Here is a 12,953-nt window from a genome sequence, read left to right as displayed (position 1 = left end):
TGCTGGTGTATAGCAAAGCTACTGATTTGTGTACATTAATTTTGTATCCTGAAACTTTGCTGAGTCATTCATCAGTTCTAGGAGCTTTTTAGATAAGTCTTTAGGGTTTTCTAGGTATACGATCATATCAGCAGACAGTGACAGTTTGACTTCCTCTTTACCAAATTGGATGTCTTTTATCTCTTTCTGGTCTGATTGCTCTAGCTAGAACTTCAAGTACTGTGTTGAATAGAAGTGGTGAAAGTGGGCATGCTAGTCGTGTTCTGGTTCTCAGAAGGAATGCATTCAGCTTCTTCCCATGCAGTATAATGTTGGCTGTGGGTATGTCATAGATGGTTTTTATTACCTTAAGGTATGTCCCTTCTATTCCACTTTTGTTGAAGGTTTTATTCATAAAGGATGCTGTATTTTATCAAATGCTTTGTCTGCATCTATTGATATAATCATGTGACTTTCGTTTTTAATTCTGTTTATGTTGGGTATCACATTTATTGACTTGCAGATATTAAACCATCCCTGCATCCCTGGTATAAACCCACTTGATCATAGTGGATTATCTTTTTAATATGATGTTGCATTTCATTAGCTAGTATTTTGTCCTTGTGCTCAACAGGGATATTGGTCTGCAGTTTTTTTGTTCTTGTTGTAGTTGTGATGTCCTTCTCTGGTTTTGGTATTAGGGTGATACTGGCTTTATAGAATGATTTAGGGAGGATTCCGTCTTTCTTTACTTTGTGGAATAGTATCAGTAGAATTCGTTTGAATTCTTCTTTGAATGTCTGAAGGAATTCAGCTGTGAATCCATCTGATTCCGCACTTTTTTTAGCTGGGAATTTTTTTTATTACCATTTCAATCTCGCTGCTTGTTATTGGTTTGTTCAGAGTTTCTTTATCTTCCTGGTATATTCTAGGAGAGTTGTTTCTTTCCAGGAATTTAACCATCTCCTCTAGGTTTTCTAGTTTATGTGCATAAAGGTGTTCGTAGTAGACTTGAATAATCTTTTGTATTTCTGTGGTATCAATAGTAATATCTCCCATTTCATCTCTAATTGAGCATACTTCAAACTTCTCTCTTCTTTTCTTGGTTAATCTCACTAACAGCCTATCAATTTTATTTCTCTTTTCAAATAACTAGCTTTTTGTTTCATTATCTTTTGTAGTTTTTTTGTTTCAGTTTCATTTAGTTCTGATCTTATATTCATTATTTATTTTCTTCTGCTCTGTTTGAGTTTGTATGGTTCTTGTTTCTCTGGTTCCATGAGGTGTGACCTTAGATTGTCTATTTGTGCCCTTTTAGACTTTTTGATATAGGCATTGAATCCTATGAACATTCCTCTTAGCACCACTTTTGCCGTATCCCAGAGGGTTAGATAGGTTGTGTCACTATTATTCAGTTCAAAACGTTTTTAATATCCATCTTCACTTTATTGTTGACTGCTGATCAATCAGGAACAGTTTATTTAATTTCCATGTATTTGCATGGTTTTGAAGGTTCCTTTTGGAGTTGATTTCTAGTTTTATTCCACTGTGGTCTGAGAGAGTACTTTATATAATTTTGATTTTCTTAAATTTACTGAGACTTATTTGTGGCCTATCATATGGTTTATCTTGTAGAATGTTCCATATGCTGATGAACAGAATGTATATCCTGCAGTTGTTGGGTAGAATGTTCTGTAAATATCTATTAAATCCATTTGCTGTAGGGTATAGTCTAAGTCCATTGTTTCTTTGTTGACTTTGTATCTTAATGACCTGTCTAGTGCTGTCAGTGGAGTGCTAAAGTCCCTATATTAGTTCATTTTCAACATTAGTACTGAGATGTGAGGTATTATTATCCTATTCATCATGCTATTTGTTGCCTGAATACCTTGTTTGTTTCATTGTGTTATTGTTATATAAGTCCTGTGAGATTTATGCTTTAAGGAGGTTCTATTTTGGTTTATTTTGAAGTCTTATCACTCCTTTTAGCGGTTCTTGTAGTGCTGGCTTGGTAGTGGCGAATTCTCACAGCTTTTGTTTGACTGGAAAAGACTGTATCTTTCCTTCATTTATAAAGCTTATTTCAGTGGATACAAAATTCTCGGCTGATAATTGTTTTGTTTAAGGAGGCTAAAAATAGGACCCCCAATCTCTTCTGGCTTGCAGGATTTCTGCTGAGAAATCTGCTGTTAATCTGATAGGTTTTTCTTTATAGGTTACGTGATGCTTTTGCCTCACTGCTGTTAAGATTCTTTCCTTTGTCTTGACTTCAGATAACCTAATGACTATGTGCCTAGGCAATGATCTTTTTGCGATGAATTTCCCAGGTGTTCTTTGAGTGTTTTGTATTTGGATGTCTAGATCTCTAGCAAGGCTGGGGATGTTGTCTTTGATTGTTCTCTCAGGTATGTTTTCCAAACTTTTTGATTTCTCTTCTTCCACGGAAACACCAATTATTCTTAGGTTTGAATGCTTAACATAGTCCCAAACTTTTTGTAGGCTTTGTTCATTTATTTATTACTTTTTTGTCTTTGATGGATTGGGTTAATTTGAAAGCCTTGTCTTCAAGCTCTGAAGTTCTTTCTTTTGCTTGTTCTATTCTATTGCTGAGACTTTCCAGTACACTTTGGATTTCTCTAAGTGTATCCTTCTTTCTATAAGTTGTGATTGTTTTTATTTATGCTATCTATTTCACTGAAGGTTTTTTCTTTAATAACCTGTATCATGTTTTTGATTTCAAGTTGGATTTCACTTTACTCTGATGCCTCATTGATGAGCTTAATAATCAACCTTCTGAATTTTTTTCTGGCAATTCAGAGATTTCATCTTGGTTTGGATCCATTGCTAGTGAGCTGGTATGATCTTTTAAGGGTGTTAAAAAACCTTGTTTTGTCATGTTACCAGAATTGTTTTTATGTTTTCTTCTCATTGGGTAGACTATGTCAGAGGGAAGATCTGGGACTCAAGAGCTGCTGTTCAGATTTTTTTGTCCCACCGCGTGCTCCCTTGATGTGGTATTCTTGTACCCCCTCCCCCTAGGGATAGGGCTTCTTGAGAGGTGAACTTCAGTGATTGTTTTCGCTTTTTTGGATCTAGCCACCAAGCAGAGGTACTGAGCTCTGGGCTGGTACTGGAGAGTCCTCTGATGTGATTCATCTTCAGGTCTTTCAGCTGTGGATACCAGTAACCTGCTCTGGTGGAGATAGTAGGGGAGTGAGGTGGACTCTGTGAGGGTCTTTGGTTGTGTTTTTGTTCAGTGCACTGGTTTTGTGTTGGTTGCCCTCCAGGCAGGAGGTGGCACTTTCAAGAGTGCATCAGCTGTGGTACTATAGGGAGGATGCAAACTTGCCCTAGGAATGTCTGGTTAAGTATTCAGGTTTCTCAGCCAGTGGACAAGGCCATAGAGCTCCCAAGAGATTATGTCCTTTTTCTTTGGCAACTACACTGGTTAGAGAAAGACCACCGGGTGGTAGCAGGGATAGGCATGTCTTAGTTCAGGCTCTCCTTGGGTGGGGCTTGCTGCAGCTGCTGTGTGGAATGGGAATGTGGTTCCCAGGCCAATGGAGTTATATTCCCAGGTGTATTAGGTTGCCTCTGCTGAGTCGTACAGGTCACCAAAGAAGTGGGGGAAAGTCAGCAGTCGCAGGACTCACCCTGCTCCCACACAGCCCACAGTCCTAAAGGCCAGTCTTACTCCCACTGTGTCCCCCCAACAACACTGAGTCTATTTTTAGGCAGCTGGTGACCAGGGCTGAGAACTTGCCTCAGACCACCAGCATCCCTGCTGAGAAAGCAAGTACACTCACAATGTTTTGGCATCTCAGGGAGCCTGCAGTAGCAATCCAGTTCCTTCAAAGGGTCAGATAATTCTCTCAGCTTTCCTGGTATTTTCCTGTGGTAGTTCTTGGAGCAAAATTTTATGATGTAAGTCTTCACACACTGCTCTGTCTGTCCAAGCAGGAACTGCAAGCTAGTCCTGCCTCCTATCTACATTTTTAATCAAAGCTCTCTAAATTATTCTTAAAGTTATTTTCTGGAGGCTAGGTGTTTCCCATAATGGGAGGATTGTTTGTACAAACAATTCTATTAAAAACTTCTAAAAATCTGCGTAAGATATATTTTAAAATATCTTCTTAAAATCACTGCAGGTCTTGTAAGAAAAGAAATACTTATTAGACTGAAATCACAGGGAAAACTAGAACTAATAGAAGTATTTGTTAGTTACATAAATGTGAATATTTGTATTGACCTATCTATAGTTAAAAAATATAGAACAAAATGAAGAGTCTAACAGGTAAGTGTCCCACAATAAGTTGCTACCTAATAAATACACCTTTGGGACAAAGGTGAATAAAAAAAAATAAAATGATTGGCTTTCTTGAAGAATTGTAGCCCAATTTTAAAAGTCTGGAGGCTTCAGTAATCTAACGTATTCAAATTGTTGAATGTGACTGAGGACAAGTAATGCCCCCGTTGACTGAAACAAACAGAAATCCTCTCTGGATGAAGGCTTTCCTTCATCTCAGTCCTCTAATTATTCCTACAAATAATTATGCAGTGCTTAATTATGCTTAATTATACAGTTAATTATGTGTAATGCTTAGCTCGATCAAAGGTAGCCAGGTACATAAAGTAAAAACACACCAAAAGCATGTACCCACCGAAACACAAACAACAAAATAAATAGACCCAGAAGTACATCCTATTGAAATCATCAGGGAGAGCACAAAATAATTTATCCTTTTTTGGCCATGCTTTTATTCAACAAATATGTATTGAGTACCTCTCAGATACTCAGAACTCCTCGAGGCCCTATATATTCAGTTATGGATAAAATAAGCAAATCTATTTTTTATAAGGACTTTACAATCTAGTGTGATGTTAAACAAGGAGAACTTATTTATTACTTAGGAACTGGTCCAAGCTTTGGTTCGAGCTCAGTTGTTTCTAAATCTTTTCGTGGATTACTCTGTGAGATGACTAATTCCAGGCCAGAAAGACCACTAGAGCCCAGGAGGTCAAGGCAGAAGAAACTCTTAAGCTTTTTAACTTAAAGAAGTCAAAGACAAAAGTTAAGGACATCAACAGAAACAGGGAAATAAAATGTGATGCTACAGATGTAAAAAAGGATATAAAGAACATAAAGATCTCCAAAATTTAATAAATTAAAAATTCATTGCATAGACCTCATAGCTAATTATATACAAGGATGTGAAGTTAGTGTTCTTAAAAAGAGTGCAGTAAAACAGTACGCAGTACAGACAAAGTTCAACCATGTGAGCACTACCACTGTAAGTAATACAGAATAGGACATTTATTATAGCACTAAAACTTTAGACAACTACACAAGACACTGGGTAAGTAAGGGTCAGAATGGGTGAGTTAGAGGATCAGAAAAATTTGCTCTCCTCCTCTCTGAAGAACCAGTATGGGTGGACAAATTAGAACTTGCCAGAGATCTCAGAAACCAGGCATGGCTGACTTGCAGAATGGGACCATTAAGGAGAACTAGTGGAGACATCTGTGTCAGGGTATTGCCTTTGCATCTGAGATGGAGTAGGCCTGAGGTCACTCTTGGTCAATAGGGCTAGCAGGTGAATATTACAAATGCAGAGTTGGGAAGAGTATGGTTAATTTTGAATTTGCTTCTCTGAGCGTTGATGCTTCTGGTTCTTACAGCCTAACACCAAAACAACCAACAGAGGTTATGGCTGTTGCTTCCTCTCCACTTTCCAAATCATGTACCAACTTCTATTTTGGCCCACTATAACCTGGAAGCATATAGGGAAGCACATATGGAAAACATATTTCTAGCTAAGCTAAGTTTACACTGTAAAAAACACCACAAGCATGGGAGACAAAGAAATAAAAGGAAAATACAGGAAGAGAATAAAGTATATACAGGACAGAGTGAGAAAATGTAACATTATTTCAACAGAAGTCCTAAGAGGAGAAAAAAAGAAATAGGGCACAGATAATAAATTTTACTGGCCAAGGGTAAAAAAAAAATTGTGGCTGATAATTTTTCAGAAATGGTCAATGACAGAAATCCATAGAGTCAAGGATCCTAAGTAATTTCAGGAAAAAAGAAATAAAAATAAATCCACAACTAGAAACATTATAATGAAACTGTACCTCATCAAATACACCATAAAAAAATCTTAAAAAATGGCCCAAGAGAAAATATTAAGTTGAAAGGTGACTTGTCAATAGCAGCAATAAAAGTCAGAAAACAGTAAAATGATATTCTCAACATGCCAAATAAAAACCCAGAACAACACAGAAAGAACAATAACAGCAAAACTCCCAACCTTGAATTCTATATGCCTTGAAAATACCCTTCAAGAATGAAGATGAAGTAAAATACTTTTCAGACAGAGGAGTAGCTGATTTTGCTTTCAACAGCAACTGAAGACATATACATATTTCACGGATAGCCTATGTATTAAAAAGTTTCCTAAAGGAAAAAAAAAACTCTTTTTAATGAAAGAATTATTTTTGAAATTCATTTAGAGATACTCTCATGAAAACCATCACTATGAAAATACAAATATGATCCTGCATATAATTTTAGAGGTTTCCTGCCAAGTTGAAGCCCTTTCATGGACCCACTGAATTACTGCTGACATTTCCCTAACATTTCTTTCCAGTATGGCATTTGGGTTCATAGGTTTAAAATACAATGGAATGGGAAAAGCATTATTCTATAAATAATGTACTATTGTATTATTTGAGCTTACACTTACTTTTATTTGTAGAATTTTTGTATGTCAGTTGCTTTCAAAGACTTTGTTACAGGTATACTGCCCATTTTGAAAGTTAATTACCATCTTATTTCTCTCAGTAATTACACAGACAATAAATGTAGGACTATAGCTAAAGGCAGGATACTGGCTAATCTGAAAGGAGGGGATTATATCCCTCCATAAGATGTGGGAGAGCTTAGGGATGATGAGAAGAAACTGAAAGATAAAATAATTTTTCTTATTTCTTTTTTTCCAGCTTTGTGCCTCACTCTTCTCTTACACCTGGGGAGTCAAGTCTGGATCCTCTGCTCCATATTTATTTAGCAAATAAAACACTGATCTCAAACAGCAACGGAACCTGTGTACTTGAGGTAAGGATAAGAGTCCTGAGGAAAAAACAGGTTCTGTGTTTTTATAATCTTGCCTCATTCCCTGCTTTCCATGGCAATTTTTGCTTCCTTATTCAGAATCTTTCACCATTCATTAACATCCTACTCTAGAGAATTTCAGGTTTTATCGTTTTTGGCTCTACTAAATGGTTCCTACCTCTTAAATTCACTTTAGATCCGCTAAAAGTGTGCTGAAATATCTCAATTTTTGTAGTCACAATTCTATGGGTTTTCACATTGTTGGTGTTACTTTGTGATAACATTATTTGGGCCTTGGAAAGAGAAAGAGATGCATTTAAATAATCCATTATTAAATGCATCTCTTTCTCTTTCAAGATGAAAGGATTGAATAATTTTTTTTTGAGTTAATGGATAAACATATACAGGTTTTTATTCTTCTAGAAGTGACCCTTTATTACTTCCCTAATAACTTATCTTATTTATTCAGACTGGAAAATTCTTCCTGAAACTTGACTTAATAGAGTTCTATTCTCTTCCTTTCTCTACTCCTCCTTCCACTGACAACTAGTTTTAAATGTAGTATTTTCTCATATTGATATTATCTTAATCATACATTCTCAGGTTTTTTGTTCTCTGTATTTTATTATGAGCTTATTTACTTTTTCTCTTAGATTTGGCAACTAAGAGGATATTGTTCTGAAGTAGCTTGATATCTGCTTGTTCTAGTATCCTGCCAATCTCCATTTCAATCATGTTACTATTTGTTTTGTCTGAACTTTTTTCTACAGAGCAGCTAGGAGAATATAGAGCATGGTAATTAAGAGGGTATTGTGTGACTTCACAATTTCTAAATTAAAATCTTGGCAACACTGCTGTCTTGAGTTCCTTAGGGTGTTGCTTTTCCAGCTGGAAACCTCTGTGGCCAGTGGCACGTTTGCCTGAGTTTTGCTTGGGCCCACTGGCTCGTTCTGCCCAGTCAGCCTGCCAGGCTGTGCTTGGCTTGCACCACCGGCTAGGATCCCACGCCGGCCAAGGGTAAGCCAGGCATGGAGTGGCAAGGGATATGTGAGAAAGTGAGCGTGGGGTCCACCCACTGCGCACAGCCAGGCATGCTGGCTGCTGCAGCGCGGTGGGCAGCTCCAGGCACCGGCACAGGTGCGGGCTCTGTGTAAGGCTGTGGCTGGATCAGATGTACCACAAGCAGCTTCCACTGTGGGCACCTGTGTCTGGATGAGGGGACTGCGGTGGCACCCAGAAGCTTCGAGACGCCAGGAACCACAGAGCCCCAAAGAGGGTGTCACGGCCCTGGCTCGGGGAGCCCCTAGGTCTGGCGTCCCCAAAGGGCCTCTTCAGCTCTTCTCTCCTTTTCATCGCCCACAGCATGGCGATCGGGGGGAGTTTCAGCCCTGTTTGTGTTACAGCTCTTTCATTCCCACCATTCAGTTGGTCTTGACTTCTTGTCCTGCCTCTTAAAAAAATGAGGTATGCGGACAACTGGAGGGTGAGCAAGGTGGAGAGGAGCTTTACTGAGCAACAGAACAGCTCAGAGGAGACCCCTAGTGGATCGCTCCTTTCTGCAGACAGGTCATCCTTATCACTCCAGGAGACCTGAAGTGGGTAGTTCCTTCCCACAGCTGGTAGTCCTGACATATGTCTGAGTCTGGCTGAGTCCAGGGTTTCAGTGGGCTCAGAAGGGAGGAAATATGCGCTTATTTGTCCATGGGCTGTCATTGGCAGGCCCGAAAAAAGCACCGTAAGTTCTCACTCTGGGTAGTGGACTCCAGCTGGAACTGACAACCCGGCCCCCAGGCTTCAGGCCATCCCTGCCTTGAAGGTGGGGTTTCACCTGGGATGCACCCCTTTCCACCCGAGGGCCTGTCTGCTTCTTGCCACCATCAACATGCTGTCCACAGTGCCCAGGCTGTTTGTGTTGAGGGGTGCTGCAGGCCCATGCTGAGCTGCTCTCACCACTCACCACGCCCGCCAGCCTCCCTCCTGTGCTTGTTGGTGCCCGAAGTCTGGAGGAGGCTGAGGCAGCAGGGAGCTGGTGTGTCAGCCCTGTCCCGAGTGCCCGCACACTTGTTAGAGTTGCAACAGTGCCCAGGCTTGGTTACAACTTTGCTCCATGCCAGAGTGGGTGCTGGAAGTGGGGAGAGGCCAGGGAGCAGGAGCAGGTACTTTCAAGCCTGCTATGGCAAGTAGCTTCCTGGGCCCCCAAGAGTGCAGTGATGCTAGAGTCCAGCGCCACAGCTGGGTGGCTGCAGCTGTGCCAGGGAGCACGGGCTTCTGCCTCATCAACTAAGTAGGGGTCTGGGCTCTCGCCTGCTCCTGGCTCCCACCAGCTCTGCAGAACATGCAACCCTGTCCATGTCTCATGCTGTGCAACCAGCATCCTTGCAGCAGCTGCTCCACACTGGTCGTCACTTCCATCACTAGTTACTAGCAATGTGACCAATGCCAATTATTTTAAATATAATAAATTTGAGTTTTTTCCTTTTTTCTGTGGAGGAAATAACTCATTAATGTGAGGATTAAATGAGAAAATGCATATTAAATTATTCACCAGAAACTTACTAAAAAATCTGTGGGTTCTCTACAAATAAAACAAACAAAATTTCTGCCTTTATCGTTTTTAAATTAAATTCAGGAAGACATATAGTAAATAATAAATAAATGTGACCAAGTGTGTTGGCTCATGCCTTTAAGCTTAGCCTTTAATCTTAGACGCAGAGGTGGAGGATCGCTTAAGCCCAGGACTTAAAGACCAGCCTGCACAACATAGGGGGATGCCATCGCTACAAAATTTTTTAAAAAAACAACATATCCAACTGTGGTGGTGTAAACTGGTAGTCCCAGCTATTCAGGAGGCTGAGGTGGGAGGATTGCTTGAGGCTGGGAGGTTGAGGCTGCATTGATGAGCTGTGATGACACCACTGCACTGCAGCCTGGGTGACAGAATTGAGATCCTGCCTCAAAAAATAAATAACTAAATAAATAAAAGTAAAGTATATAGTGTCATAGAAGACATGAGTTAAGGAGAAAAAGCAAATACTTAAGAGTAGTGTATATTATAGTACATAAATTATATATCATAATAAAACATTAATGATAGAAATAAAGAATGGAAGATTAGAGAATATAGGAAGTACTAATGGGAAAGAGAAGTGGATAATCTTTTATGCTTTTATTTATTTTTATTTTTATTTTCCTCATTCTTGCTGTCATCTTAAGGGAAGTGGTTAATTGTTGGCTGTTTTATACAGAATAGTCAAGGAAGAGCTCACTGAGGTAATCAAATTTGAGCAGAAATTTGCAAGAGAAGAGATATCCATGTAGCTAGTTGGTTGAAGAGCAATGCAAACAAAGAATAACCAGAGTAGACTTCCAGGCAGGAGAATGCTTGGCATGTTCAGGAAGACAAGCAAGCAAAAAAGTGTAGCCAGAGGACAATGAATGAAAGAGGCTATAATATGAATTGAGGTCATGGAAATAACAAGGTAGGGTTGGGGAGGAAGTGGGACTGACTGCAAAACATTTTGTAGGTTGTTGTCAAAGATTTTCGCTTCTGTTTAAGAAAGACAGCAAATCATTGAAAAATTTTGCGCAGAGAAATGACCTTGTCTTCTTTTCAGTTTTACTGGGTCATTCTGACTGAGGTATAGAGAATAGGCCAAATAAGACAAGAGTAGAAGGATAATTGCTTGATCAGTTCTTCCTGCCCGCTGCATAAATAAAGACCATGGCATTGCACTGAAGAAAAGTTTAATTGACACAAGGCCTGCCACACTACACAGAAGATGGGGTTGTTACTCAAATCAATCTCATCTCAGGCTTTTAGGTTAGCAGTTTTTCAAAGACAGTTTGAGGGAAGGGATGGGGTGGCCAGGTAATGGGTACTTGCTGCTGATTGGTTCAGGCAGAGATGAAATTGTAGGAGGGCACAGCTATCCTCTTAAGCGGAGTTGCTTCCATGTGGAGCCATAGGAGCAATCAGGTCCAGGTGTCAGACAGGCAAAAAACCTGAACAAATATCTCAAAAGGGCAATATACTATAGTGATGTTGCATATCTTGTGATCAGACCACACCTTAGCTCTTCCCCCTAGCCTGATAATGTTTCATTAGATTTACAAAGGTGGTTGAGTTTTGGGGGAGGCCTATTATCATTTAAAACTAAATTTTATATTGAATGGGTGCTGTGGCTCGTGCCTGTAATCCTTGTACTTTGGGAGGCCAAGGTGGGAGGATTGCTTGAATCCAGGAGTTTGATACAAGCCTGGGCAATATAGGGAGACCTCATCTCTATAAAAATAACAAAATAAGATAAAAGTCATATAAACTAAATGTCTCTCAAAGTTAGCTTAGCCTAAGCTCAGGAATGTTGAAGGGAAAGGCAAGATGGGGCGGGGTGGTTAAATCAGATCTCTTTTACTGTCATAATTTTCTCCCTGATATAATTTGCAAAGGTAGTTTTAAACCCTGCTTTGGGCTCCATAGCACCTTACTCTTAAGGTGTTGGCTATAGAGATGGGAAAAGGCTGATGGTCACTCTAGCTTCTTCCTGTTGACAAGAGGCATAGTTGTGGGGTTGAGGTGGGTTATGCACAAGGGAAATAAAAATAAAACCACTTTGCAGTTATCTGCATCTACTCATGGGGTTCCCAGTTAGTGTTCCTAGGCTTATGTGACAAAGATGTTGATAACCTTACCAACAGTTTTAGCACAGCACTTAAATGAACTGCAGACTAGTCCTGAAACTAGATCAGTTCAGTTAAACAGCTGTTTCCAATATGAGGAGATGGCATCTCAGGTGGTCTAGGCTTCTGTCTGTGATGAAGGCAAATTGATTTTTAATAAGAGGCATTTCTATAGAGACAGAAGAAAAATGAAGTTTAATGTTGGGCACAATTTATCCAGATGTTAGACTCAAAGAACTTTTAGTTATAGAAGAGGAAGGCACTGGCAATCTGACATATTCTTCTCACCTGTATAACAAGGACTAAGCTTCAGCTTGCAGGGCCTCAGGAAATATTTTGATGGGGTTACGACTAGATTTGCTAAAAATATGGAATGTAGATGACAGAGAGAAATCAAGGATGACTCCACAGTTGTTGGCACAAGCATTGAAACATTAAATTGCTATTAACTGGAATGGGGAAATCTTCAAGAGGATCAGGTTTTGCAGAAGTCAAGTTTGAAATATGGATAAACTTCCATGTAGAGTTGCCGAGTAGCTAGCTGAATAGATGACTGGCCTTGTGATAGAATTAAGATTAATCATCACATAAACACTGTATATTCATGAGGTTATATAAGATCGCTAAGGGAGTGGGTGTAGATAAAGGAGTAAAATGCTGAATCCTAAAGTGATTCAATATTTAGTGGCCTTAACATGGAAGCTAACACTATTGTTATGACTCAGTAAATGACAGGACATTTGAATGCATCCATTATAATTTTTTTAAATTATAATCAAGTAACACTACTAACAGTGTATTTCATATGTAGAGAATCCTTTATAGATCCACGAAGTCCAGGGCTGAAGAAGTTGCTCAGAAATGTAGTTAGGCACCCTAACTCTGTTTTCTTTCTATCCGTCCTCATTTGTCCATATGTTTGTCTCTTCATGTATACTAAGTAATGACTGCAATCCCAGGTGTTGTTCACAATACAGGTTGGAAGAAGCAAATATAGGAAAGGGACAAAGAAAAGAAGAGCCAAGCCAGTCAAGTCTGTTTATTTTAAAAACATTTCCTGGAAAGATTACTTAGAGATTTCTGTAGTTTCTGAAAGAATAGCTGCAAGAGTCTGGAAGTATACTTTAGCTTTTCATATTCTCTAGCAGGGGTCAGCACACATTCAAGGCAAAGGCCGAAGAGC

General features: G+C 39.4%; 1 protein-coding gene across 3 annotated transcripts in view, besides 6 other annotated features; it reads left to right on the top strand.

Annotated features, from left to right (window-relative positions):
- EYS (eyes shut homolog) overlaps positions 1–12,953 on the top strand; it is a 1,987,247-nt gene that overhangs the window by 60,353 nt on the left and 1,913,941 nt on the right. For all 3 annotated transcript variants that reach the window (NM_001142800.2, NM_001292009.2, NM_001142801.2), the window contains exon 2: positions 6,982–7,096. The gene's annotated coding sequence lies outside the window, so the exon portion shown is untranslated. The remainder of the gene's footprint in view (positions 1–6,981; positions 7,097–12,953) is intronic.
- Positions 7,644–8,144: an enhancer, noted in NCBI's record as "H3K4me1 hESC enhancer chr6:66348623-66349123 (GRCh37/hg19 assembly coordinates)". NCBI's record gives its function as "activates a minimal SCP1, AML or CMV promoter by ChIP-STARR-seq in primed H9 embryonic stem cells {active_cell/tissue: H9 hESC(primed)}" and the evidence as "EXISTENCE:reporter gene assay evidence [ECO:0000049][PMID:30033119]".
- Positions 7,644–8,645: a biological region, named in NCBI's record as "H3K4me1 hESC enhancers GRCh37_chr6:66348122-66348622 and GRCh37_chr6:66348623-66349123".
- Positions 8,061–8,230: an enhancer, noted in NCBI's record as "experimental_93297 CRE fragment used in MPRA reporter constructs". NCBI's record gives its function as "activates a minimal promoter by MPRAs in K562 erythroleukemia cells, with activity observed for both the introgressed and non-introgressed 6:66348622 variant alleles {active_cell/tissue: K562}" and the evidence as "EXISTENCE:reporter gene assay evidence [ECO:0000049][PMID:34662402]".
- Positions 8,145–8,645: an enhancer, noted in NCBI's record as "H3K4me1 hESC enhancer chr6:66348122-66348622 (GRCh37/hg19 assembly coordinates)". NCBI's record gives its function as "activates a minimal SCP1, AML or CMV promoter by ChIP-STARR-seq in primed H9 embryonic stem cells {active_cell/tissue: H9 hESC(primed)}" and the evidence as "EXISTENCE:reporter gene assay evidence [ECO:0000049][PMID:30033119]".
- Positions 8,304–8,473: an enhancer, noted in NCBI's record as "experimental_93288 CRE fragment used in MPRA reporter constructs". NCBI's record gives its function as "activates a minimal promoter by MPRAs in K562 erythroleukemia cells, with activity observed for the introgressed 6:66348379 variant allele {active_cell/tissue: K562}" and the evidence as "EXISTENCE:reporter gene assay evidence [ECO:0000049][PMID:34662402]".
- Positions 9,182–9,351: an enhancer, noted in NCBI's record as "experimental_93271 CRE fragment used in MPRA reporter constructs". NCBI's record gives its function as "activates a minimal promoter by MPRAs in K562 erythroleukemia cells, with activity observed for both the introgressed and non-introgressed 6:66347501 variant alleles {active_cell/tissue: K562}" and the evidence as "EXISTENCE:reporter gene assay evidence [ECO:0000049][PMID:34662402]".

Source organism: Homo sapiens, chromosome 6 (genome assembly GCF_000001405.40).
Source record: "Homo sapiens chromosome 6, GRCh38.p14 Primary Assembly".
Classification (NCBI taxonomy): Eukaryota; Metazoa; Chordata; class Mammalia; order Primates; family Hominidae; genus Homo; species Homo sapiens.
This window is presented reverse-complemented; position numbering and strand designations above follow the sequence as displayed.